Raw genomic sequence first — 26,904 nt, 5'->3', positions numbered from 1 at the left:
GTGCAATGGCATGATCTCGGCTCACTTCAACCTCTATCTCCCAGGTTCAAGCAATTCTCCTGCCTCAACCTCCTGAGTAGCTGGGGATTATAGGCGCCCACCACCACGCCCAGCTAATTTTTGTTATTTTTAGTAGAGACAGGGTTTCACCATGTTGGCCAGGCTGGTCTCGAACTCCCGACCTCAGGTGACACACCTGCCTTGGCCTCCCAAAGTGCTGGGATTTACAGGTGTGAGCCACTGCACCCAGCCTGAAACCAGGATTGTTATCAAACCTTCAAGGAAATCAGGAGAGAGTGAAATAATAACCAAATCTCCAAACAGGCCAGTTTTAGACCTACAGGACTACAGGTGCACGCCACCACACCTGCCTAATTTTTAATTCTTTTGTAGAGACAGGGTCTCACTACGTTGCCCCGGCTGGTCTCGAACTCCTAGGCTCAAGTGATCCTCTTGCCTTAGCCTCCCAAAGTGATTACAGGTGTGAGCCACCACACCTAGTCCAGCCATTCTATATTGTTCTTCTGTGCTCTCTTAATGTTTAACCATGCCTTTTATTTAAATAATTCCAGGAACTGGCCTTAGGAGATCCAGAATATCAAACCAAGGTTGAGAGTGTCCCATCTCAGGAAAGAATGAACAATTGATTTACAGCCTTGTTGCCTCCAGCTAGACCACCAGGTGGCCCATTACCCAACATAACCATTGCAACTAGATAATGCTGACCTGCATACCCTACCCCTCAGAGCTTTGCCCCGTCCTGCCTGCATATCTACCCCCGATATTTATTCTTTATTTTTTAAATAATTTTTAATTAAAATATGGAATGCTTCACAAATTTGCGTGCCATCCTTGCGCAGGGGTCATGCTAATCTTCTCTGTATCGTTCCAATTTTAGTATATATGCTGCTGAAGCAAGCACTAAGTGTGATGTTTTATATTCCTCTGAAATAGGAAATATTTACTTACTGTTTAACTTACTTGCTATTATCTGCAGCGTCACAACAGGAAACAGAAGGCACACTCCCCACTTCAGTAATTTGAAGACGACACAATAAATCATTAACTTATTTATAATGGTGTGGGCAGGATGTAGAAAAATTACAATGGTTAGCGTAAGACGGAGGGGCTAGGACAAGGGGAGGCAGTGGTTACCGGGACTTGGAACAAGAGGGCTGTGTACACCAGACACTATGGCCTTTGGTTGAAGGCCACTGCCAGCCTTAGTTAAGTCTGCGGGGGTAGGGGTGGGGTGCTGTGGGAATAAAGACCCCAACTTCCATCTCCTCCCTCTCTCCACGTCCCACTCAGAAACCAGAGGGCAGGGAAGTGTGTGGAGGAAGTCATGAGGCTAGTTTCCTGAGGCTCAGACAGGCGGATAGGGAATTGGGATGGAAAAATGGAAGATATCTCTCATATTCATTTAGGCAAAATGAAACGACTGAACTTCAGAATGCTGCCTTGTGTGTGACTTTGGGCATGTGGGTTTACCTGACCTGTTTCATCATCTGTAAAATGCTGGGTAACAGTTTCTACCACGTATAGTTATTGCAGGGACATATGTGGAGTTGCCTAGCACCCCGTATCAGTTAGCTATCATTGTCCCTAACCCCCAAAACTGAGTAGCACACACCACTACATTTTTACTTTTCACATTTCTGCAGGTTGGCTGATCTGGCTGGGTTCTGCTTCGAGCTGGTGGCCAAGGCTCACAGGCAGCTCTGGCCAGCCTGTCTCTTGTCCTCTTGGACCAGCAGGCTGGCTGAGGTGTATTATTCTCATGGAGACAGCTGGGATGCAGGAGAGCAAGCCCAGGTGTGCAAGTGTGTCTTAAGGCTTTAGCTGTGTTGTAATAATTTTTCTGGAGCTTTGGTAACAAATTACCACAAACTTGGTGGTCTAAAATTTTTTTTTTTTTTTTTTTTGAGATGGAGTCTTGCTCTGTCACCCAGGCTGGAGTGCAGTGGCACATGTCGGCTCACTGCAACCTCCGAGTCCCAGGTTCACGCCATTCTCCTGCCTCATCCTCCCGAGTAGCTGGAGCTACAGGTGCCCGCCACCACTCCTGGCTAATTTTTTGTATTTTTAGTAGAGACGGGGTTTCACCATGTTAGTGAGGATGGTCTCGATCTCCTGACCTCGTGATCCGCCCTCCTCGGCCTCCCAAAGTGCTGGGATTACAGGCGTGAGCCACAGCGCCCGGCCTAAAATATTTTCAAAGTAATGGCAAAAACTGCAATTACATTTACACCAACCTAATAACACAAATTTATTGTCTTATGGTTCTGGAGGTCAAAAGTCAGAAATGGGTTTCACTGGGCCAATCAAGGGAGGGAGGGAGGCATGGGCCCAGTCAGGGAGTCGGCAGGGCTGTGCTCCCTTAGGGAGAATCCGTTTCCTTGTTCCGTGGCTCCGTCCATCTTCAGAGCTGACAGTAGAGCATCTCCAATCTACTGTTGCTTCCATTTTTACACCAACTTTTTCTGATTTTTGACTCTCCAGCCTCTCTAGATTATAAGGGAGGCTGGAGAGTCAAAAAAAAAGCCTCCCTTTGTGATTACACTGGGCCTAGCCAGATAATTACATCTCCAGAACGTTATTTAATTACATCTGCAAAGTGTCTTTTACAATGTTAAGTTACATATTCACAGGTTCTGGAGATTAGCTCGTGGACCTTTTGGGGGGTGGGGGAGGGCATCATTCAGCCTACCAAATAGATCATGCCTGCTAAATTCCATTGGCCAACATCAAGTGAGGGAAGTACTCATAAATGCAGAAAAGGGAGACAATAAATATTTCTTATAGTAATGTAATCTACCACACATCTGGTAAGGCATTTTTTTTTTTTTTTTTGGAGACAGAGTCTTGCTCTGTCGCCCAGGATGGAGTGCAGTGGGGTGATCTTGGCTTACTGCAACCTCTGCCTCCTGGGTTCAAGTGATCCTCCTGCTTCAGCCTCTGGACTAGCTGGGATTACAGGCGCCCACCACCATGCCCAGCTAATTTTTGTATTTTTAGTAGTGATGGGGTTTCGCCCTGTTGGCCAGGCCGGTCTTGACCTCCTGACCTCAAGCGATCTACCCGCCTCGGCCTCCCAAAGTGCAGGGATTACAGGTGTGAGCCACTGCGCCCGGCCAAAGTTTTTAATAAACGCTTACTGAATATGAGTTGGACTATGATGACTCATGGTGCTATACTTTTCGAGGGCTTCCTGAAAAACTTCCTGAAAACACTAGTGAGCACTGATCATCTTATTATGATCACAGCCACACTGTTGTCTGGACTTGAGTTACTGCTAGGTCTGCAGGCAATGGTCAAGGTGGATGAAAACTATAATTTGAGGTATTTATTTACTCATTCCATTTATAGTGCTGTTGTGTACTCTAGAATCACATTGAAAGTTAGGCTCTGAATTTTCCTTCTTCCTCTACTCATTATTCAGAGCAAGATGACACATTATCTGCTTTAAACCCTCTGACGGCGCGGAAAAGAGGCTGCAGGATCTTAGAGAAACAGTTTCCTTTTAATCCTCTTATCCCTTTGCCAGAAACGGCCCAGAAGTCAGCTGAGGAACCATATATCCAGGCAGGGAAGCCATGTACTGCTCTGCTTTGAGCAGGTTAGAGCAAACCTGGAGTGCTTTGTCTACCAGTGGACACCACTCTGTAAGAGTGGCACACACAACGCCGGGTACGGTGGCTCATGCCTGTAATCCCAGCACTTTGGGAGGCCGAGGCGGGCGGATCATGAAGTCAGGAGATCGAGACCATCCTGGCTAACATGGTGAAACCCCGTCTCTACCAAAAATACAAAAAAAATTAGCCAGGCGTGGTGGCGGGTGCCTGTAGTCCCAGCTACTTGGGAGGCTGAGGCAGGAGAATGGCGTGAACCCGCGAGGCGGAGCTTGCAGTGAGCTGAGATCGCGCCATTGCACTCCAGCCTGGGCAACAGAGCAAGACTCCGCCTCAGAAAAAAAAAAAAAAAAAAAGAGTGGCACTCACAAATTAAGAGTGCAGAAAGACAACATATAGTTAGGAGATTCAAAACTGTGGCACTGACTGAGGCAGGGTTGAGAGGGTTTCCGCTTGGAGAAGAGAGGACCTTCAGATGACCAGAAGGTAACATGATTTGTGTGGCTAGAGGGAGAATCAGGTAATATTTTCCTAGCTCTGTCCACCGAAAAGGCCTATGACCAAACAAGTGGCAATGAATTTGCTTATTGCCCAGACTGGTTGCTAAATACCATTTCCAACAAAACCAGGGCTCCTTGGAGAAATGACTGATTTCAGATCTGGACTGAAAATGTACAACATGATGCTGGAAATCTTACCATACCAGAAAGCGAGGAAACTGACAAGATTAGAATAGTTTCAAAAGGACTCAGGAGACAAATTGAGTTGAGTTCCACTGACCGAAGACAGAATTAGGTATCATTGATTAGAAGGCCAGGCACAGTGGCCCACCTCTGTAATCCCAACACTTTGGGAGGCAGAGGCAGGCAGATTGCTTGAGCTCAGGAGTTCAAAAGCAGCCTGGCTAACATGGCGAAACTCCGTCCCTACAAAAAATACAAAAATTAGCCAGGCGTGGTGGCATGTGCCTGTAGTCCCAGCTACTTGGGAGGCTGAGGTGGGAGGATGGCTTGACCCCAGGAGGTTAAGGCTGCAGTGAGCCGTGATCATGCCACTGTATTCCAGCCTAAGTAACAGAGTGAGACCCTAACTCAAAAAAGAAAAAAATAAAAAGGTAGCATTGATAAGACGAGCTGCAATGGATTGAAATAAATGTTTAAAGCCACAAGTCCATGGTTTAATGTATCTAGGCAAAAATAATCAATGGTTGCCATTATGACAAAAAAGACGTTCAAATGGGGTCTTGCTAAGTTACCCAGGCTGGTCTTGAACTCCTGGCCTTCAACTCCTTGAACTCCTCCCACCTTGGCTTCCTATAGGTGTGGGACACCGCACTCGCCCCCACGTAGTTTTCTGTTTTTTCTTTTTTTTGAGACAGTCTTGCTCTGTCACCCAGGCTGGAGTGCAGAGGCGTGATCTCGGCTCACTGCAGCCTCCACCTCCAGGGCCCAGGTGATCCTCCACTTCAGCCTCCCAAGTAGCTGGGACTACAGGCACCTGCCACCATGCCTGGCCAATTTTTCTATTTTTTTGTAGAAGCAGGGTCTCCCTATGTTGCCCAGGCTGGTCTTGAATTCCTGGGCTCAAGTCATCTGCCTACCTCAGCCTCCCAAAAGTGCTGGGATTACAGGCATGAGCCACGATGCCCAGCCCCCAAGAAGTTTTGAAACAAAAATAAAGGTGGTGATGGGCACACTGAAAGCCCAGACTCACCGACAGAATATATGCATGTAACAAACCTGCACTTGCACATCCTATTCAAATTTTTTTTTAAAATTGGAATTTGACAAAACCACTAGAATAGTGGGTCTTAAGTTTTAGTATGTGCCAGAACCACCTAAGGGGCTTTAAAAAACACCTATGGCTGCGCTCTACCCAGTTTTATTTTTTAAATATTTATTTGAGACAGAGTATCACTCGGTCCCCATACTGGAGCACGATCTTGGCTCACTGCAACCTCTACCTCCTGGGTTCAAGGAATTCTCCTGCCTCAGCCTCCCAAGTAGTTGGGATTGCAGGCATGCGACACCATGCCCGGCTAATTTTTGTATTTTTAGTAGAGGTGGGGTTTCACGACCTTGCTCAGGCTGGTCTCGAACTCCTGACCTCAGGTGATCCACCTGCCTCGGCCTACCAAAGTGCTGGGATTATAGGAGTGAGCCACTGTGCCCGGCCCAGAGTTTTAATTTATTTGTTTAAAAAAAAAGTTGGCTGGGCCAACAGAGCGATACTCTATCTCAAAAAAAAAAAAAAAATTGTTGTGGGTACATAGTAGGTGTATATATTCATAAAGTAAATGAGATACTTTGATACAGACATGCAATGTGTAACAATCGCAACATGGAAAATGGGGTATTCATCCTCTCAAGCATTTTTTTGTATTTTTATTTTTTCTTTTTAATTACCCACACTACACAGACATACCCTCAAGCATTTATCCTTAATGTTACAAACAATCCAGTTATATAGTCTTTATTTTAAAATGTACAATTAAATTACAGACTATAGTCACCCTGTGTGCTATCACATACTATATTTTATTCTTTTTTGGACCCATTAACCATCCCTACCTACCCCTCACCCCCTTACTACCCCTTCCCAGCCTCTCATAACCATCCTTTTACTATTTCCAGGAATTCAACTGTTTTGATTTTTAGCTCCCACAAATATGTGAGAACATGTGAAGTTTGTCTTTCTGTGCCTGACTCTATCCACAGTTTTTGATTCAGAGTCTGGGGTGAAGACTGTATTTGTAACATCTAACATCGGAGATGATTTTGATGCTGCTGGTTGGGAACCATGTTTTTTTTTTTTTTTTTTTTTTTAAGACAGGGTCTTGCTCTGTCACCCAGGTTAGAGTGCAGAGGCATGATTGGCTCAATGCAGCCTTAACCTCCTGGGCTCAAGTGATCCTCCCACCTCAGCCTCCTGAGCAGATGGGACAGGTGGGCAGCATCAGTCTGATTTTTAATTTTTTTGTAGAGATGGGGTCTCACTATGTTGCCCAGGCTGGTCTCAAACTCCTGGGCTCAAAGGATCCTCCCAGAGTGTTGGAATTACAGGCGTGAGCCACTGTGCCTTGGCAGAACCACACTTCTTGCTGGGTGCAGTGGCTCATGCCTGTAATCCCAGCACTTTGGGAGGCCAAGGTGGGAGGATCGCTTGAGGTCAGGAGTTTGAGACAAGCCTGGGCAACATGGTGAAACCCCGTCTCTACCAAAAAGAGAAAAAATTAGCTGGGCATGGTGGCAGCTACTCAGGAGGCTGAGGTGGGACGATCGCTGGAGCCCAGGAGGCAGAAGTTGCGTGAGCTGATTGTAACACTGCAACTCTAACCTGGGTGATACAGTGAGACCCTTCACACACACACACACACACACACACACACACACACACACCCGCTTTCTCTAGGTCTATTAATTTACAGGAAATGCAGCATACAGGAGAATACACTTAATGACGCCATGAGATTGCAATCAGCAAAATCAAGACTGGGAAACTCTCCAGGACAATGACTTAGCTTCTCCAATAAACACACTGCAAGGGGACAAAGAGACTCTAGATTTAAAGAGAGTTTAGATGTCTTTAAAGAGCTATATAGTGCATCTACAGATAAAATGTCTAGGATTTCCTTCAAAATTATTTGGGAGAGGAAGTAGACAGGTATACATTGTTAAAGCTAGAGGAGCACAAGGGTGGTTCATTCCACTATTCTCACTGGTGTTTGAAACTTTGTATGACAAAAGTAACAGTAATGTGTTTAGTACACTCGGGCTGCTCATGAAGGACGAAAAAGTAGGGATAGTAGATACTTTAATACTTGGGCACCACATTCCACGTTTGGCATCTTTGTTTTGCCTTTTTCTCAAGTTGGTTAGAACAGTATTATTAGAGTTTAGCTATTTTTTTTTCTTTTTTTGAGACAGAGTCTTGCTCTGTTGCTCAGGCTGGAGTACAGTGGTGCAGTCTCTGCTCACTGTAAACCCCCCTCCTAGGTTCAGGCGTTTCTTTTGCCTTGGTCTCCAGGGTAGCGGGGATTACAGGCCTGCGCCACCACGCCCAGCTTTTTGTATTATTAGTAGAGATGGGGTTTCACCATGTTAGCCAGGCTGGTCTCCAACTGCTGATCTCAAGTGATCTGCCTGCCTTGGCCTCCTTTACAGGAATGAGCCATCACACCCGGAGAGTTTAGCTCTTCTATTTCAGAATGTTTTCCTAAATGCAGTTACTATTTAATGAGTGACTATGCCAAATGCTTTGATAATAGTATTTACTTTTCACAATATTAGCAGGTCTTGTTTTATAGATGAGGGTGCAACTTATTTGCCTCCCAATCCTTTTGGCCTTGGGCTAGGGGACTTGCTCTGCTTTCAGCAGTAATGGGGGTTCTATCTGATGCCATCAAAGCTTTGCCTTCAGCAGCTCTTAATCTCCAAATTGGTTCCCTCCTAAAGACAAAAATAAAAAACCACCTTCTTTAAACCTTACCTTTAAAAGTCTACTCCCTTAGCTGGGTGTGGTGGTGCACACTTGTCTCGGCAATTTGGGAGACTGAGGTGGGAGCATCGCTTGGGCCCATGATTGCACCACTGCACTCCAGCCTGGGTAACAGAGTGAGACTCCATCTCTTAAAAAACAGAAAACCTAAAGAAAACCCATATAGTGTACCTGCCCCCTCCTCCCCGCCACCCCTCCAAAGCAATTCCTTTATGGTAGAAGGCCAGGCAAGGTAGCTCACACCTGTAGTCCCAGCACTTTGGGAGGCCGAGGCGGGGGATCACCTGAGGTCAGGAGTTCGAGATCAGCCTGACCAACATGGAGAAACCCTGCCTCTATTAAAAAAATACAATCTTAGCTGGGCGTGGTGGCACATGCCTGTAATCCCAGCTACTCGGGAGGTTGAGGGAGGTGAATAGCTTCAGCCCAGGAGGTGGAGGTTGTGGTGAGCTGAGATTGCACCATCGCACTCCAGCCTGGGTAACAATAGTTAAACTCTGTCTCGTGGGGGGAAGAAAAGTTTATTTTGTAGGTTTTGCCCTCATCTTGGATTTGTCTCGTTTCTACATGACAGCATTTTGGGCAGGAATATCACAAGAATGAGACTCTGTCCTCGATGTATTATGTCCAGTGACCCATGTTAATAACCTGGATCACTATTAAGTCATTTTTTAAAATAATTTTGAGGGAGAGGAGGCTAACTGGAGGCTAGGTATATTAACTCCTCTTCAAAAAGTAACATGAAGAAAAAGCCTGAGGATGCATTAGAGATTTAGAGACTCAAGAACCATGACAACAAAATGCAACCAATGAATCTTGGACCAAGAGAAAAAATGTAAGGGACATTAAGGGACAACTGATGAAACTTCGGTATGAACTGTGTATCAGACAACAGTATTTTATCAGTTAATTTCCTGATTTTGATAATTCTGTAGTTACAGAAGATAATGGCCCTGTTCCCAGAAAACACATTGAAAAAAAATTTTTTTTGAGACAGGGTTTCACTCTGTCGCCCAGGCTGGAGTGCCATGGTGTTATCTTGGCTAACTGCAACCTCCGCCTCCTGGGTTCAAGCAATTCTTCTGTCTGTCTCAGTCTCCCAAGTAGTAGGACTACAAGCACGCAACACCATGCCTGGCTAATTTTTATATTTTTGGTGGAGACAGGGTTTCACCATGTTGGCCAGGCTGGTCTTGAATTCCTGAGCTCAGGTGATCCTCCTGTCTTGGCCTCCCAAAGTGCCGGGATTACAGGCATGAGCCACCGCACCCACTCTTCTAATTTTTGAACCATGATTCCTTTCTATTCAAAAGGAATAAAAAGTTAACGACTGTGTTAAGTGCTATACTGGGGGCCATCTGCAGGATTGCTCAAAGATAAACAGGCATATGTAAACAAGCTATATAGGATGTACGAAGACCAACTGCACAATTGTACTGACTTGTCGTTTCAGTAAATGGATGCATACATGTTCGGGATACTAATCTGTTATTCAAAATATGGTCACTGAGGAAACTCAAAGATTAGCATATAAATCGGTAATTACTACACTAGGTGCTCTATTGCAAGAACTCTAAGTTTTATTGTGTAATGTTGAATCTTGAAAGTAATTTTTAAATTCATGCTGATAGACAACTGAAAGGATTATTCACACTGTTGGTTCTGAAAAAAAATTTATCATACATTCATTCAACAGTAACCAGCCAGCCATTTAAAGCCGATCTCTGTATTACCATGTATTAAAGCAAACTGCAGACTACTACTCAGGGCATGAACACTGAAAACCTAAAAAGGCATTTTTATATGATCATAGAAATCTCTTGAGCAGATACAAGAACTGTTAACAGCAGCTGCATTAGCAAGTAGATTCCAAGGTATGGTCCAACCATGTATATTTGTAAATAAAATTGTATTTGTTATGGTACTCTCTTGTACTGTTCATATTCTTGACTTTTAATCTTCACATCCCATGCATGTTTTATCCCTAGTTTCATGGATGACACTGAAGCACAGTGATTAATGAGTTGCCCAACATAAACCATATACTAAATCCCAAACTCACGTTTCTGGGTAAGTGAACACAAGATCCTGTTCTCATACTCAAGACAGGAATGGCTTGCCAATGCAAACTCCAATTCAAAAAAACATTTGTTAAGAATCTGGTCCTAAGTGGGCATATGCAATAAACTCAAAACAAGCCTTTCCCTCAGTAAGTATTTTATTGAGATTTAAAGCACAAAATAGGTGAACAAATCGGGAGGAAGGTGGTAACACAGGAATGGGAACGTAAAAGTCAAAGTAGGCAGGACTCAAACTGGCCATAAAGGCACTACGGCATGTTCATAAACACCATCAAGTAAAAGAAAGGGGAATCAAGATGTTCTCACTTCTTTTCTGCTCCACCTTAATACTCCATCTAGCCACTGGTATGGAGCATGTCATCAACTCATTCTTCTCACAAGCTAGCAAGGGAATTAAACATTTTATCAGTCAACCCTATGCTCACCAAGTGAGCCAATGTTACACAGTGATTTTGTGCATCCAGTGACTGAGAACTACAGGCAAGGATAGGCCCTGACTGTTAATAAATTGGTCGTGGCTATTACTAGAAAATTATGGGTGCAGGCATTTACCTATACAATGACCTGCTTACTGTGGCAGCTAACAATATAGTCAAACCAGTCTATTACCATATGATGTCCTATTAACAAGAGAGCCCAGTTGAAGGATGTTTCATACTTTTAGAAAGCCTAATTTCTTACTGTAATATCCTCCCATCCCTCTTTTAAAAAGGCTGTAGTTCAAAAAGCTTTTATGTTCTTTCCCTGAAAACAAGAGAACTTTGGTCAAAGCCAATTTTTAAGAGTCATCACTTCTGCTGAGTAGGCAAAACAATGAACTATAACAACAGACATCATTTTCTTTCCTTAAATTCTGAGGTTTATGCTGGAAAAATAAACCCATTTCTTTATAAACATCTAATTAAATAAAGTATCAAAGAAAATAAGATAATGGAAGAAGCATCCGCCTTTTGGGGCACTATATTCCTAAGGTTGGGCTTTAAGATTTTTTAACAGGAAACCCAGGAATTTCTGAAAAACAAGGCCTTTTTCACATTACCAAGAACTCACAGCTACTCTGTGAATGCCCTAGATATTTGACTCAAATTTTTCACTCAATCTTATTAGGTATATTTCTGGATTATTTGAATCTACAAACCAACCCTAGAATATCATGCTTTCCAGTCACACCTGTGGCACAATGAGCAGTGTACGACCATGCCCCATCACAATCCAACCCTTGGTACCCTACATTGTGACACCTCCTAGAAAGGTATTAAAGCTGAGCCAATTAATCTATATTTTGATTTCAGACTAAGATTAATAAATGCTTTTAAATAAAGTAACTTTTAAGGTATCTGAACAAAGGGATGTAAGGTTAATTCACTTCTCAAACTGCAATTTCAACTCATCAGGCTTATGGATGTATGGACTAATTGCTAACCTAGTAACTCCTACAAATTTGCAGTATTCAAATTTGGTTTCCACAGTACTCATTACACTTTACTCGTAATAAAGTACAAAAGTTTTGCGTTTACCCATTTCACTGTTTTTCAAACCAATTACACAAAGCATTAAAATTTACAAGTATGATCTAACCAATTATCAAATAATCCCACTAACTACAAAGGGGACTGACTACTGGGTGGAACTTAACTGGCAACTGACTTTACTGAGATTAAGTGCCTGTTAAACATAATGATCTTTCAGCAGAAAATGCAGTATGTGCTTTTACACTTTGAATAAACTCAATTTCAGAACAAAAAGAGGCTACTTCCATTTCCACATGACAAACATTAAAGACAACTGAACCACTCTCAACACTAATTATGCTGAGAACTTCCAGAAAGTGGATTCTCTAAACAAGATCCCAAGTATTAGGAGCTATTTCTTAAATAGTTTAAATTTGCCTTTGAAAAAAGTTCCATTACTTAAAAGTATTAATTTAAGCAAAATCATGGAACACATTGACTAAAAAATACCTTTTATTTTTACTCAACTTGTTAAAGGGGCAGATAAAGACTTTGGCAAATTTGATTAACTGCACAAAATAATGTTATCCAAACTGAGTAATTTATTGCTGGTCTGAGGCTTGCCTTGTTTACACTTAAGTAGAATTTACGTTGTTTCCACAAATGGCAGATATCAACATTTAAAGGAATTTAATAGTGACCTATTCAATAAGGCAATCATCTTGGTAGCAAACTTTTATTTAAATCTTACATAACTCAAGCTTTATAAAAAGCCAACATAATTGAAAATTGGGTTCTCCCTCTAAAGCCTTAAGTATTCAAAGCTCAAAACAGTTAATTTAAAAATAAGCAAACAAATAAAACAAAAAAACCCTGCCAGCAGATCCTGCTGAAATACTAAAAAAAAAAAAAAAAAAAAAAAAAAAAAAAAAAAAACAACACTAAATGAGCTTAATCTTTACAAAAGTTACGTTAGCTCAAAAGCTATAAAATCAAAGTTATCTTAATTCTACAAAGAAGGGAGAGGGTCTTCATGCCACCATTTCCTTAGAGCCTCATCTTTTTCATCCAATTTGGCCACAAATCAAATTTCTGTGTGCCCCTGTTTTCAAGAGATTCCTCTTGCAGAAGAGGCCAAGTATAAACATGGAAGAGTAACTGCCTAAGTAGGAAAGTGTTCCATAATAATGTGCAAACAAGGAGTTCTGAGTTAATCTCTGGAACTCGACCTGGACCTTGATCTTGACTTTGAGCGAGATCTAGAACGGGATCTTGAAGTAGCTCTTTTTGGTGGAGGGGACACAGAACGGGCCTTTGAGGGTGGAACAGGTAGCGGCGAATTGGAACGGGACTGGCTCCTTGATCTGGATTTTGACTTTATATCACCCTTTCCATTTTCTTTAGGGGATCGGGACCGAGACCTGCTTCGAGATTTCTCATACTCATCCTTAGATCTGCTTCGAGAATGTGAATGGGAGCCCCGATCAGACTTGGGCTTAGATTTGCTCTTTGATCTAGATTTCCTGCCTTTTGATCGAGAACGTGATCGACCTTTGCTCCGCGACCTGGAACTGGACAAGGAAAGACCGATTTTCTCAATACTTAGTGAGAATGTACACATACTCCATAAACAAGTACGGTAATATTCACAGTGACTCAACACAACGTTATTTACCGGGAGCGACTTTTTGAGATACTTCGAGATCTACTGCGGCTGCTCCTGCGACTCCTACTTCGTGACCGTCTTCTAGATCGAGACCTATTAGGAGAAAAACAATGAAGTCTTAATCCCAATCCAACTTAAATACATCCGTGCCATCTGGCAAAAATAGATAAGCCAAAGAATAATGTTTTTCTTTACTACGAAATTAAATACACTGTTCAAAACATCCAGAAAAGAACGCAATGATGCACAGCCAAAACAAACTAAAAGCTGGCTTTAATTCAAGTAGGCAACAATTGACATCACTCAATTACTCCCTTTTTATTGGCAAATATTGTTTCCTTCCCACAGTGTCCTTCAACAAGTTACCTGGATCTGCTTCCAGAGTAAGATCGCCTATGGCTTGTGCGTGGCTTATCTTCAATAAGCCTAATATTTCTGCCATTTATTTCTGTGCCATCCAGTTTGTCCAAAGCACGCTTCATGTCAGAGTAGGAGCGAAACTCAATTACACCCTCATTTGTTCGTTCCTTGTGGGCATCCGCATAGGTTACTTCACCTGCTTGTCGCATAAAATCCTGAAAGACAAGATTGGTCAGACTCGGAAATCTTAAAACATCTATATACCATAATAAATTCCCAGAAATAAGAATATAAAAGGAGTTTACTTTAAAGCATTAGTCATATCATTTCTATCTTGAATTACAAAACATACCTTTAAATCTTGCCAACTGCACCGACTAGAAAGATTTTCTACAATAAGCCTGTATTCTGTACGAACAGGTGGTCCGTATTTGTCTCTGCCAGATGTTCTCCGACTGCTGTATCCACCTCCACCACCTTTATCACATGAAGGGAACAATTAGATGCCTTGTAATGATAAAAACGCATAATGTCTTTGAAAGTTAGTACAAACATATCAACTTTTATTTACTGGAGTAGGACTTTGCTATTATATTGCTAAACCTTCGACACATTTGTGATTTGCCATAAAATTAAATTAAGGGCAAGTCAAATAGACTAAATCCAACTAAACCTCTCCTACAATCTGTTAGAGAGTGACTGCTCCTTTATTCGATTTACCTCGCTAAGTTTTATTTTACAGAACATTGTAAAATATAAAACTTAACTGATTACATGCATTTCTACATTTTACAAAAATGTTTACTAGTTTTACACTAAGTACTTACATCACAGTGTGAGGTTTTTGGTGGTGGTTTGGCCACAAAACACGCAAGGTAACAGTCACCTAGTTCAGATTAACCAGTTTTGTCTAACCCTTGGAATCCTCACCATCACCCTGCGTCTAATGGCAAAAGGCTGCTGTCGTCATGGCTTCCGGTAAGGTCAGCCAAAGGGTCATAGGGCAAGGGTCACACAATGTATGGAAAAGCCAAGGCCAATCAGGAAAGGCAGTCATCTTAGCCTCAGTGGACACAGCCTCAGCCCCATTGGTCACTTTCAAATTGAAACATCAAGGACTTGTTAAAAAGTTTGAATTCAACATGCAACAATTTAAACATCAAACATTTAACATAACCAAAAATCCCCCCAACCTCCTCCCAATAACATGCCCCAATTAGTTCAAATACAGCATAAAGCTTATTTAGATCTACTTTGTGGTACAATACCACATTACTTAAAAATAGTACATTCTTTGGCCCCCATCAAGTTCCATAGCTTTAAGACCTATACTTTATGCTCCTCCCCTTCCCCGTCCCCCGCGCCCCCTACCCCACCTCCACCCGAGCCTGCCCCCGAACCTCTAACTAATGCACTGATAGGTAAGTAAGGAGAATACAACAAATACAGCCACCCCTTACTTCCTCTGTGGGAAGAACCCGTGACAGTGCTGACAAGGGGCCAGAAGAAGCCACCCACCTCCCAACTTGGCAAATAAACAAAACCAAACACCCAAACCCAATCCCCGCGCTCCGGCGTCCCATGGCTGCCCCGGGCAGACGTGAAGGCAGCGGGGCTCGGGGACACCCAAGTCAAACGACCCCCGGCCCTCGCGCCTGCCCGGGCTGGGAGGCCCCACCCCACCCACCCCCGCCCCCAGGGTCCCCAAGGGCGCGGAGCGCGCGGGGGTGGGACTCACTGCGGCTTCCGTAGCTGTAGCCGTCGCGATCGCGACGCGGGCCCCGGGCGTGCTCTACGATCACGCGCTCGCCGCAGAGCTCCTTGCCGTTCAGCTCGTAAACGGCGTCGTCGGCGTCGCGGGAGTCCTCGAACTCCACGAAGCCGTACCTAGGGGCGGTGCGAGGGCCGGACAACCGCGGGGGAGTCGTTAGCCAGGACGCGCACGTGCGCGCGCCCGTACCCCACCGCGCGCCCCCGCGACGCCGCGCCGTCGCCATCTTTGAGGCCCTGCCACGCGGCGCCGCGGCCTTGGCCGCTTCTTTCCTTGGAGAGTTCCCGCCGCCACCAGGCCTGGGACGCTGGGCGCGGGCGCCCAGGCCCGACTCACCCATTTTTGAGGTCTACTTCGAGGAGGCGGCCATAGCCACTGAAAAAGCGCTGGATGTCCTTCTCCCGGACGTTGTAGCTCAGGCGTCCTATGTAGACGCGCGGCATGTCCGTGGCGGGCGGGGACCCAAGGGCTGGTTGTCGAACGGCGGACCGCAAGCCAGTAACCGCGGTGCGGGTGCGGGGACGGCAAGAGCCCGAACACGCGCCTCACACCACAGGGGCGGCCGAGTCCAGCCACACAATGGCGCGCGCGCGCGCCAGGCTTTCGCTATATGGGCGGCCGGTGGGGCGGGGCCTGGAGCGTGATGTCAGCGCGCAGCGGCACGTCCGTCCCGCGTCGTCCCTGGGCTAGATGGTGACTGGCGAGTCCGTTGCCCGCGACGTTTCGGTGTAGTGCGGTCTTGCTAGCTTCTAGGATTTTTCTCTAGCCCTCCCCACCGTCTTTGAAAACACAATGTCTCTAATCCAGCCGCAGAACTGCTTTCTAATTTGTACCTTTTATAAAACTGTGCGCGATCTCTTCGGGGTTGAAGCTCGGGAGGCGGGCTGAGCGAATCCCCGTTTTTCATTGGTTCTCGAGGTTATCATAATAGGTCGCCGCGGTCTCTGCTTGGTGGCTTAAAACGAGGCTGCGGATTTCTCCCAGCGATTGGTTGATGCTCGTTTTGATGGGGACCGCGGTCTCGGACCCAGTCGCTTGTCTTGTTTCGCAGAATCTGAGGATCGCGCGCCGAGGTCTTGCTGACCGGGCGGAGGTCGCGTTGCGAGCGCGCAGACCCGCCGACATCAGCCTCTCCGGGTCTCACTCGCAGCCTTCGCCTCCCCGGACGTTCCCCTCTCCCTCCATGGGTCTTTCTTGGAGCCCTGGCAGCTTGACTCACTTGTGGATTGGGCTATCCGTGGCAATCCTACGCTCACTGTAGGTGCTCAAAAGGGAGCGTGGACGAGACCCGGCAGCCCTCCCACAGCGACGAACGATTTTTTTTCTCCCGTGTATGGAAAGTCCTTTGTCCCAATACTATCATTTCCTCCACTGACTTGAAAGTGCCTTATTTTGTGAGTTTATCAATGGAGATGCTATTTAAAGCTGTAGAACCAGATTGAAAACCTCAAAGGAGTAAGTTTAAGTGGAGAGCGGAAGACCCAGGCCAACGCCTGGGGTACTCTGAAATTTAAGCGCAGGAAAGGAGACTGGGAGGAGTGACTAGCGAGGTAGGGAGAAGACCAGGAGAGTAGGTGTCACCGCCGAAGCTAAAAAAAAAAAAAAAAAAAAAAAGGGATATCACTGAGATAACACCAGCTCTTTAGATATTTATGTATTCCTGCTCTGTTTTGAGTGGTGCAACCTCAATATCCTTAAGCTTCGGGTTGAAAAAGGGGGGTTTTGTCCTCCTGGAGCTATTTGGAAGTCTAGAGGGAAACGTTGTTTGTCACGACTGGGGGAGGTAGAGGCCGTGCTTAAAGTTAGATAAATAAAAAATACGAGTCTGTAATCCCCACACCTTGGGAAGCTGAGGCAAGAGGATCTCTTGAGCCCAGGTGTTCGAGGCTGCAGTGAGCTATGATCATGCCACTGCACTCCAGCCTGGGTGACAAAGCAAGACTCCAACCTGCCTGAAGGAAAGAACAAAGCTTCCGCAGCGTGGAAGGGGACCCGAGCGGGTTGCCACTGCTGGCTGGACCGCCAGTTTTTAGTCCCTTATTTGGCCCTGCCTACATCCTGCTGATTGGTCCATTTTACAGAATGTTGATTGGTCCGTTTTTACAGAGTGCTGATTGGTGTGTTTACAAACCTTTAGCTAGACAGAGAGCACTGATTGGTGTGTTTTCAATCCTTTAGCTAGACGGGAAAGTTCTCCAAGTCCCCACCCAACCCAGAAGCCCAGCCGGCTTCACCTCTTCACCTCGGTAGGCAGAATAAGGGTTCCCCCTAAAGATGTCTATGTCCTAATCCTAATCCTAATCCCTGAAACCTGTGAAGATGTTACCTTGTATGTCAAAAGGGACTTTGCAGATCTGATTAAGTTGAGCATCTTGAGATGCAGAGATGCCCCGGGATTGTCCAGGTGGGCCCCATGTGATCATAAGGGTGATTACAAGAGGGGGACAGGAGAGCCACAGTCAGAGAAGCAGATGTGACAAAGGAGGCTGGGATTGGGGTCAGAGTGATTGGCTGTAAGAAAGTCACAACCGAAGTTAATGGCTTTGAAGATGGAGGAAGGAACCATAAGCCAAAGGGTGCCAGTAGCCTCTGGAAGCTGGAAGACACGAGGGAACAGATTCGCCCCAGAGCCTCCTGAAAGAACGCAGCCCAGGCCAGGCTCTGTGGCTCACACCTGTGCCATCTCGGCTCACTGCAACCTCCGCCTCCTGGGTTCAAGTGATTCTCCTGCCTCAGCCTCCCGAGTAGCTGGGATTACAGGCATGCACCACCACGCCCAGCTAATTTTGTATTTTTAGTAGAGACGGGGTTTCACCATGTTAGGCTGGTCTCGTTTCGAACTCCCAACCTGAGGTGATCCACCCGTCTCTGCCTCCCAAAGTGCTGGGATTATAGGCGTGAGCCATTGTGCCAAGCCCAACACCAGCTCTTTGGATATTTTTGTATTCCTGCTCTGTTTTGAGTGGTGCAACCTCAATATCCTTCCGCTTCGGGTTGAAAAGGGGGGGCGGGGTTTGCCCTCCTGGAGCTATTTGGCAGTCTGGAGGGAAACGTTGTTTGTCACGACTGGGGGAGATAGAGACCGTGCTTAAAGTCAGATAAAAAATATGATTCTGTAATCCCTGCACCTTGGGAAGCTGAGGCAGGAAGATCTCTTGAGCCCAGGAGTTCGAGGCTGCAGTAAGCTATGATCATGCCACTGCACTGCAGCCTGGATGACAAAGCAAGACACTGACTCAATGAAATAAAGAAAAGCAAGGAGCAAGGCGTAGTAGCTCACGCCTGTAATCCCAGCACTTTGGGAGGCCCAGGTGAGAGGATTGCTTGAGCCCAGGAGTTCGATATCAACCTGGGCAACATGGCAAGATCCCATCTCTACAAAAAACTTTTTTTTTAAAAAATTAGCTGGGCATGGTGGCACATGCCTATAGTCACAGCTATTGGGAAGGCTCTCAACAGGGGGCAGTGGTTCTCAACAGGGGGTAGTTCTGTCCCCCCTGCGGACATCTGTCAATATCTGAAGACTTTCTGGTTGTCACAGCTGGAGGAGGGAAGGAGCTGCTCGTATCTCATGGGTAGAGGCCAGGGATGCCACGAAACATCCTGCAAGGCACAGGACAGCCCCACCACGAAGGATTATCTGGTCCCCAATGTCAATAGCTGAGGTTGAGAAGTGCTATTCCAAATGAATCCTGTACAGAAGTTTTTTTCTTTTCTTTTTTAAATAGAGGCAGGGTCTCCCTATGTTACCCAGGCTGATCTTGATCTCCTGGGCTCAAGGAGTTCAAGCCTCATCCTCCCAAAGTGCTGGGATTACAGGCATGAGCCACCATGCCCAGCCTATGGAAGTTTTTAAAACGAAGTTTGGACTAGCTTGGCAACATGCAATCCAATCTCCCAGTTGGAAGAGCCTCAGAGGATCTTTCAGTCATCTGATTCATGATTCTTTCTAACTCTGTCACTGACAGTTTCCAATTCTGGATTCTGTTCCTGGAGCAACTACTGCTATATTCACTCCACTCCATACAAATACACCTGAGTTGCTACGAGAGGGGATTTGCCGGGCACCGTGGCTCACACCTGTAATCCCATCACCTTGAGAGGCAGAGATGGGATCACTTGATCCCAGGAGCACAAGACCAGCCTGAACAACATAGCAAGACTCCATCTCTTAAAAAAAAAAAAGGCCAGTACTGGCGGCGTATACTTGTAGTCCCAGCTACTCCAGGGACTGAGGTGGGAGGATCACTTGAGCCCTGGAGGTCAAGGCTGCAGTGAGGTATGATGGCTCCACTTCACTCCAGCCTGGGTGACAGAGCAAGACTCTTGTCTAAAAAAGAAAGGAGAGAAAGGAAAGAAAGAAATAAGAAAAGATATGAGCTCCCATGCTGCACATCTACCATTTCTCCTTTGAGTTGTTCTCCCAACACATCAGCAGAGTTGGGTCCTCAGGAAGACTCCACAGAATGGTGACAATCCAGCACCTCTCTCAATTATGATATTTGAAACTGTTTTCTCTTCCGCAGCAGTGCTCTTGGGTTTTTTGTTAGGGGTAGCCACTGGGCTTTGGGAAAGAGAAGTGAGAGGAAGAGTGGATGATATCAGCTGCATCTTTCTCTTTGACAAACGAATTCCCTATCCTTCAATAAATACTATCCCACTAACTCCCCAAAGCAATGTCCAGTCCCACCAATACCGTAAGAGTGTCATTTCCTGCTTCAACTCTTGCAAATAATTTTAATAAATTTTTTAAAAATGAGAGTTTGATGAGTAACAAATGTTATCATTGTCAAATTCTCCTTTCCCTAACTACATTCCATGGACTTAAGCCTCTCTCTATACATATTTATGTATACATGCACATATAAATCTTGCTGCTGCCCACTCTTTGGGTCCGCACTACCTTTAAGAGCTGTAACACTCACTGCAGAAGGTCTGCAGCTTAAGACCACGAACCCACTGGAAGGAAGGAACTCGGGACACATCTGAACATCTGAAGGAGAAACTCCGGACACACCATCTTTAAGAACTGTAACACTCACTGCGAGGGTCCGCGGCTTCATTCTTGAAGTCAGCAAGACCAAGAACCCACCGGAAGGAACCAATTCCACACACACTACCACAGGGACTCTGAAATTTTGTTAAATTTAGGAATGGAAGCTGGGTGCAGGGACTTGTGCTTGTAATCCTAGCGCTTTGGGAGGATGAGGTGGGAGGATCTCTGGAGGCCAGGAGTTCAAGACCAGCCTGGGCAATATAGCAAGTCTACAAAAAATGAAAAAAGGCCAGGCACAGTGGCTAACGCCTGTAATCCCAACACTTTGGGAGGACGAGGTGGGCAGATCACTTGAGGTCAGGAGTTCGAGACCAGCCTGGCCAAAATGGTGAAACCCTGTCTCCACTAAAAACACAAAAATTAGCCGTGTGTGGTGGTGCAGGCCTGTAATCCCAGCTGCTCGGGAGACTGAGAATCGCTTAAACCCGGGAGGTGGAGGTCGCAGTGAGCAGAGATTGCACTACTGCACTCCAGCCTGGGCGACAGAACGAGACTACGTGTCAAAAAAAGAAAGAAAAATGTTAGTAGGCATGGCGGCACGCACCTGTAGTCCTAGCTACTTGGGAGGCAAAGGCAGGAGGATCACTTGAGCCCAGGTGTTTCAGGCTGCAGTGAGTCGTGATTGTGTGACTTCTCTCCAGCCTGGGCCACAGAGTGAAGACCTGTCCCCCTCCCTTCCAAAAATTTAGGAATGGCAACTGGGAAGTGTCTAAAAAGGTAAGGAAAAAACCCGAAAAGAGTGTGGTGTCACAGAAGCTAGGAGTGGAAAGGGTTTCAGGGAGGTAGTGGTTAATTGACAAACAGCAAGTTCATAAACCTTTGACCCAGTAACCTTAATCCTAGAAATCTATTTGACAAGGGGCCAGTTTGTAAAATCATAGGTCCAGGGATGCTTATTCAAGCCATGGAATACTCTTCCACAATGAAAATAAGTAAGATTATTCTCATTTCAAATAAATATTTATCGAATGCCTACTGTTCTCAGCATTGGGAAAACCATAGTAACGTCATGTGTCAGCTTTGCAAACTAGGGCCCCAGTCAAATCTTGGCCTGCCACTTGTTTTGTAAATAAGGTTCTGTGGGAACACAGTATCACCCATTCATTTACACATTGTCTATGGCTCCTCTCAAGCTACAACAGCAGTCTTGATTTGTTATTATATTGAGTGGTTGCAACAGAGACTATCCAGCCTGCAAAGCCTGAACTATTTCCTCGCTGGCTCTTCACAGAAGAGGTTTGCTTACCTCAATCTGTGTGACTGACCACTAATGATGCTTCTGAGTGTTGTTAAGAAGGCAAGTTTTAATATATGCATGATCCCATTGTTTTTGTAAATAACACCACCTCAAGCCCCGCCCCACCCCGCTTTTTTTTTTTTTTTGAGTCAGAGTCTCACTTGGTCATCCAGGCTGCAGTGCAGTGGTGCCATCTTGGCTTACTGCAATCTCCACCTCCCGGGCTCAGGAAATTTTCCCACCTCAGCCTCCTGAGTAGCTGGGACTACTGGCATGCGCCACCACGTCCAGCTAATTTTTTTTAGAGATGGGGTTTTGCCATGTTGCCCAGGCTAGTCTCGAACTCCTAGACTCAACTGATCTGCCCACCTCGGCCTTTCAAAGTGCTGGGATTACAGGCATGAGCCACCTTGCCTGGCCTAAAACCCCCAGCTCTTGATACGACTACACATGTGTGTATTGGATGGGTTTGCGGTTGCTTTTGAACATCAATGGGGGTAGGTCCTATACAGTCACATCCCTCCAACTCTCCCTGCATTTCTTACCCTTCCTTCTCCCACCAGCTCTTGAATGTGCCAAACATACACTGACCTCAGGGCCTTGTCACGGGACAGCTCCCTGCATCTGGAACTATTTTTCTGTGATTTGCTCCCCTCATTTTCTTTTGGTTTCTGCTCAACGTTATTGCTGTGGCTTGAACATGTCCCTCAACAATTTCTGTGTTGGAGACTTTATCCCCAGTGCATGATATTGGGAGGTGGGGCCTAATAAGAGGCGATTGAATCATGAATGGGGGTGGAGCCTTCATGAATTAATGTCGTTATTACGGAAGGAGTGGGTTGGTTATTGAGAGGGTGGATTGTTATAAAGCGAGTCTGGCCCCGGTGCCTCTCTGTCTTGTGTAAGAAATAAATTTCTTTTCTGGCTGGTCCAAGTGCAATGATGTTTGCAACTAATTGATCACAATCAGTTACAGATTTCTTTGTTCCTTCTCCACTTCCACTGCGTCACTTGACTAGCCTTAAAGAGGGAGAGAAATAAATTTTTCATTATAAATTACCCAGTTTGTGGTATTCTAATTTCATTATAAATTACCCAGTTTGTGGTATATCAGCAGGAAACAGACTGTTATCAGAAGCGCCTCCTCAACCACCTATTTAAAAATAGAGTTTTTCCCCTGCACTCTGTGTCTCTTCTTCCCCTGTTCCACTTTTTTTCGTAGAAATTTTCATCACCCGAGATATGTATTTCTGCCTCTCCCATCCCCAACGAGAATGTCAGTGTCAGTGGAGCAGGGATGCTGTCTGTCTTTTTACACCTTCATGTCCAGTCCTTAGAAAAGTCCAAAAATGGGCCGGGCACAGTGGCTCAAGCCTGTAATTCCAGCTCTTTGCGAGGCTGAGGCGGGCGGATCACCTGAGGTCAGGAGTTCGAGACCAGCCTGGCCAACATGGTGAAACCCCCGTCTCTAGTAAAAATACAAAAATTAGCTGGGTGTAGTGGTGCATGCCTGCAATCCCAGCTACTCAGGAGGCTGAGGGAAGAGAATCACTTGAACTGGGGAGGCACGGGTTGCAGTGCAATGAGCCAAGATCACAGCACTGCACTCCAACCTGGGCGATAGAGTGAGCAAGACTTCATCTCAAAAAAAAAAAAAGAAAAAAGAAAAAAAAAGAAAAAAGAAAAGTCCACATACAGCTAGACACAATAGCACATACCTGTAGTCCCAGCTACCTGGGAGGCTGAGGCAGAAAGGTGCTTGAAACCAGGGTTTCAAGGCTGCAGTGAGCTAATGCACTCCAGCCTGGGTGACAGAGTGAGACCCTATCTCTAAAAACAAAACAAAACAAAAACAAAACTGCAGCACACATAGTAAGTGCTAATTGAGAGCAGCGCCACTCTGGGACATTGTGCAGAGCACGTGAAGCGAGACTCTCCATTCAGCAGATATTAGTGTGCTGATGGGTTCACCAGGATGTGCTGGTGGGATGGAATCTTCCACCTTCTGGTTAGTGCTGCCCAGACACACCACCTTCAGAGGGGAGCAAGGATGTCCTCACCAGATCCCACATTTCCTCCGCCAAGACTTATCCAAACAGAAAATTCCAGTGTGGCTCTGGAGCCACTGGAACTCTCAGATTGTTGTTGGCAGTGTAAATTGGCACAATCACTTTGGAAAGCTGCATGGTGGTGTCCATTAAAGCTGAAAGCTGGTAGTGGCTGTCACCGTAACCTAGGGAGGGGAGGGCTAGGAAGGGGTATGAGGGGCTGCTGGAATTCTGATCACATTTTGTTTCTTGAGCTGGGTACGGGGGTGCTCTGTTTATGAAGAGGCGCTGAGCTGTGTGCTGATGATTTGTGCATGCTACTGTATGCATGTTGTACTTCACCGGAAAATTAAAACAAAAAAGATGATAAATCTCTAAAGAAAATTACAATTACACACTTCACCTAGAGCCCTCTGGGTCATGCTGGTAACTAAAGCTCTACTGATAACTTTATTTATTTGTTTTTTCTGAGATGGAGTCTCGCTGTGCCACCAGGCTGGAGTGCAGTGACACGATCTCAGCTCACTGCAACCTCCACCTCCTGGGTTCAAGCAATTCTCCTGTTTCACTGCAACCTCCACTTCCTGGGTTCAAGTGATGCTCCTGTCTCACTGCAACCTCTGCCTCCTGGGTTCAAGCAATTCTCCTGTCTCAGCCTCCTGAGTAGCTAGGATTACAGGCGTGTGCCATCACTCCTGGCTAATTTTTGTATTTTTAGTAGAGTTGGGGTTTTACCATGTTGGCCAGGCTGGTCTCAAACTTCTGACCTTGTGATTTGCCCACCTCGGCCTCCCGAAGTGCTGGGATTACACCACGCTCGGTTGAGAACTTGATTTACAGTCTTTGTCCAGAAATGTTAATTAATCTGAATCAATTAGTTGTTTATGGTTTGGTTGAGGGGGCAGGGGGCTTGTTTTCCAATGGGTTTTCTGTTGGCTAGGACATGATCCATGGTGCTGAAGGTGTGGCTTTGTTGCCACCTGGTGGCTATCAGTGTGATTACGGTGGCAGAAAAATTAACAGCGGCTCATTCCTGCCTGAAAGAAGCTCACAGCTATTGATAGAAGGTTCTTGAAGGTCCCCGAATCCAAGTCTTCTAATTGTCAAGCCTCTTATTCACCTAGAAGTTTTCTGGCCCTCACTTGGCTACACCCCTGTTGGAGAGTTCACTGTTTAACTGGGGGTCCAAGTCCATTGTTGGACATCTTTCACTGTGTGTTATTAATTCTTTATATAAACAATTGCCTTCCTTGAATTGTCTACCCACTGGTCCTGGCTGTGCCCGAGGCTGTGCAAATACATCTGTTTCCCACAAATGGGTCTTTCAGATGTTGGGGTCAGCACTCAGATGCTCTATTCATGTCCTCTCTTCTGGCTAAATGCCCATAGTCTCCCTGATATGGTTAGGCTCTGTGTCTCCACCCAAATCTCATCTCAAATTGTAATCCCCCCGTGGAGGGAGGCACCTGGTGGGAGACAATTGGGTCACGGGGGTGGTTTCCCCCATGCTGTTCTCGTGATAGTGAGGGAGTTCTCATGAGATCTAATGGTTTATAAGTGGCAGTTTCTCTTTTGTGCTCTCTCTCTCTCTCTATCTCTCTCTATCTCTATCTATCTCTCTCTCTCGATCTCTCTCTCCCTCCCTCCCTCTCTCCCTCCCTCCCTCTCTCCCTCCCTCCCTCCCTCTCTCCCTCCCTCCCTCTCTCCCTCCCTCCCTCCCTCTCTCCCTCCCTCCCTCTCTCCCTCTCCCTTCCTCTCTCTCCCTCTCTCCCTTCCTTCCTCTCTCCCTCTCTCTCCCTCCCTGTCTCTCCCTCTCCCTCTCCCTCTCCCTGCTTTCTCCCCTCTCTCTCTCTTCTCTCTCTCTCCTGCTGCCAGGTAAGACGTGCCTGCTTCCCCTTCACCTTCTGCCATGATTGTAAGTTTCCTGAGGCCTCCCCTGCCATGCAGAACCACGAGTCAATTAAAACTCTTTTCTTTATGAATTACTCAGTCTCAGTATTATCTTTATAGCAGTGTGAGAATGGACTAACACATCCCCAGATATCCCTCCTGTGATCTGGTTTCAAGTCTGTTCATCCTTCTGGCTGCTCACTGCTGACGTGCTCAGTTTCATGTGTGGCCCTCAGAGCTGACCTTGGCCTTCCTGGACTTGTCTGGATATGACTGTTGGTGCCACAGTTTGTTGTTCTCTACGCCAGGTAAGAGCTGCGGCCTTTGGTGGTGGCTGGAGCCCAATTCCTCACTCAGTCCTACTTCTCCTGCTGCTTGGAGCCAGATTGGAATCAAGAAGCTCCTGGAAAAAGCTGGGAAGGGTGATGAGTGCCCATAGTCCCAGCTGCTTGGGAGGCTGGAGCAGGAGGCTTACTTGAGTCTAGGAGTTTGAATCCAAACTGGACAACATAGCAAGACCCCATCTCTTTTTGTTTTTTGTTTTTTTGAGACAGAGTCTCACTCTGTCGCCCAGGCTGGAGTGCAGCGGTTGGATCTCGGCTCACTGCAACCTCCGTCTCCTGGGTTCAAGTGATTCTCCTGCCTCAGCCTCCTGAGTAGCTGGGACTACAGGTATGCGCCATCATGCCCAACTAATTTTTGTATTTTTAGTAGAGACAGGGATTTCACCATGTTGGCCAGGCTGGTCTTGAACTCCTGACCTCAAGTGATGTGCCCACCTTGGCCTCCAAAAGTGCTGGGATTACAGGTGTGAGCCATTGTACCTAGACAAGACCCCATCTCTTAAAAAAAAAAAAAAAAAAAGAAGCTTTTGAAATTGTCCATTGTGGCAAATGTGGAAGCAGGCCAGTCAGCAGAATGGAAATCCAGTAGGTACTGGTGGGTAGACTCAGGATCATTGCCCGGGTTTCCGGGGCAGTGGTGAAATAGAAATGCTGATGAGAATGCCAGGTGTGGTGGCTCACACCTGTATTCCCAGCACTTTTGGGAGGCTGAGGTGGGCGGATCACCTGAGGTAAGGAGTTCGAGACCAGCCTGGCCAACTTGGTGAAACCCCGTCTCTACTAAAAATACAAAAATTAGCCAGGCATGGTGGCAGGCACCTGTAATCCCAGCTCCTTAGGAGGCTGAGGCAGGAGAATGGCTTGAACCCAA

The 26,904-nt window shown here is 45.9% G+C and overlaps 1 protein-coding gene and 1 pseudogene across 3 annotated transcripts, besides 7 other annotated features; both read right to left on the bottom strand.

The window, feature by feature from the left end:
- Nucleotides 817-922, bottom strand: RNU6-1251P (RNA, U6 small nuclear 1251, pseudogene; annotated as a pseudogene).
- SRSF6 (serine and arginine rich splicing factor 6) lies at nucleotides 9,692-16,039 on the bottom strand. Of its 3 annotated transcripts, NR_034009.2 has the most exons (7): nucleotides 15,795-16,039; nucleotides 15,426-15,574; nucleotides 14,515-14,782; nucleotides 14,040-14,164; nucleotides 13,694-13,902; nucleotides 13,337-13,420; nucleotides 9,692-13,232 (listed from the first exon to the last, which is right to left on the bottom strand). NR_034009.2 is itself a non-coding variant. In NM_006275.6 (6 exons), exons 1-6 carry the CDS (start codon nucleotides 15,899-15,901, stop codon nucleotides 12,872-12,874), a joined length of 1,035 nt encoding a protein of 344 aa, NP_006266.2. In that variant the 5' UTR covers nucleotides 15,902-16,039; the 3' UTR covers nucleotides 9,692-12,871. The 3 variants fall into 3 exon arrangements, 2 of the variants coding, with proteins under 2 accessions (NP_006266.2, XP_047296328.1); NM_006275.6 differs by lacking the exon at nucleotides 14,515-14,782; XM_047440372.1 differs by lacking the exons at nucleotides 9,692-13,232; nucleotides 13,337-13,420; nucleotides 13,694-13,902; nucleotides 14,040-14,164 and having other exon boundaries at nucleotides 14,398-14,782.
- Nucleotides 15,253-15,512: a silencer, noted in NCBI's record as "silent region_12925". NCBI's record gives its function as "represses an Ori minimal core promoter by ATAC-STARR-seq in GM12878 lymphoblastoid cells {active_cell/tissue: GM12878}" and the evidence as "EXISTENCE:reporter gene assay evidence [ECO:0000049][PMID:35858748]".
- Nucleotides 15,253-16,322: a biological region, named in NCBI's record as "NANOG-H3K27ac-H3K4me1 hESC enhancer GRCh37_chr20:42086334-42087281".
- Nucleotides 15,294-16,241: an enhancer, noted in NCBI's record as "NANOG-H3K27ac-H3K4me1 hESC enhancer chr20:42086334-42087281 (GRCh37/hg19 assembly coordinates)". NCBI's record gives its function as "activates a minimal SCP1, AML or CMV promoter by ChIP-STARR-seq in naive and primed H9 embryonic stem cells {active_cell/tissue: H9 hESC(naive and primed)}" and the evidence as "EXISTENCE:reporter gene assay evidence [ECO:0000049][PMID:30033119]".
- Nucleotides 15,523-15,622: a silencer, noted in NCBI's record as "silent region_12924". NCBI's record gives its function as "represses an Ori minimal core promoter by ATAC-STARR-seq in GM12878 lymphoblastoid cells {active_cell/tissue: GM12878}" and the evidence as "EXISTENCE:reporter gene assay evidence [ECO:0000049][PMID:35858748]".
- Nucleotides 15,763-15,862: an enhancer, noted in NCBI's record as "active region_17903". NCBI's record gives its function as "activates an Ori minimal core promoter by ATAC-STARR-seq in GM12878 lymphoblastoid cells {active_cell/tissue: GM12878}" and the evidence as "EXISTENCE:reporter gene assay evidence [ECO:0000049][PMID:35858748]".
- Nucleotides 16,163-16,322: an enhancer, noted in NCBI's record as "active region_17902". NCBI's record gives its function as "activates an Ori minimal core promoter by ATAC-STARR-seq in GM12878 lymphoblastoid cells {active_cell/tissue: GM12878}" and the evidence as "EXISTENCE:reporter gene assay evidence [ECO:0000049][PMID:35858748]".
- Nucleotides 16,383-16,702: an enhancer, noted in NCBI's record as "active region_17901". NCBI's record gives its function as "activates an Ori minimal core promoter by ATAC-STARR-seq in GM12878 lymphoblastoid cells {active_cell/tissue: GM12878}" and the evidence as "EXISTENCE:reporter gene assay evidence [ECO:0000049][PMID:35858748]".

The sequence above is a fragment of the Homo sapiens genome, chromosome 20, assembly GCF_000001405.40.
Source record: "Homo sapiens chromosome 20, GRCh38.p14 Primary Assembly".
NCBI classification, from domain to species: Eukaryota; Metazoa; Chordata; class Mammalia; order Primates; family Hominidae; genus Homo; species Homo sapiens.
This window is presented reverse-complemented; position numbering and strand designations above follow the sequence as displayed.

What these genes read in the sequence shown, in the direction of transcription:
- SRSF6 (NM_006275.6), bottom strand. Translation starts at nt 15,901, where the DNA reads ATGCCGCGCGTCTACATAGGACGCCTGAGCTACAACGTCCGGGAGAAG. An exon ending in GAAGTAGACCTCAAAAATGG is followed by an intron (nt 15,575 to 15,794) that starts GTGAGTCGGGCC and finishes CACCGCCCCTAG; the next exon opens with GTACGGCTTCGTGGAGTTCG. An exon ending in CTACAGCTACGGAAGCCGCA is followed by an intron (nt 14,165 to 15,425) that starts GTGAGTCCCACC and finishes CATGTGATAAAG; the next exon opens with GTGGTGGAGGTGGATACAGC.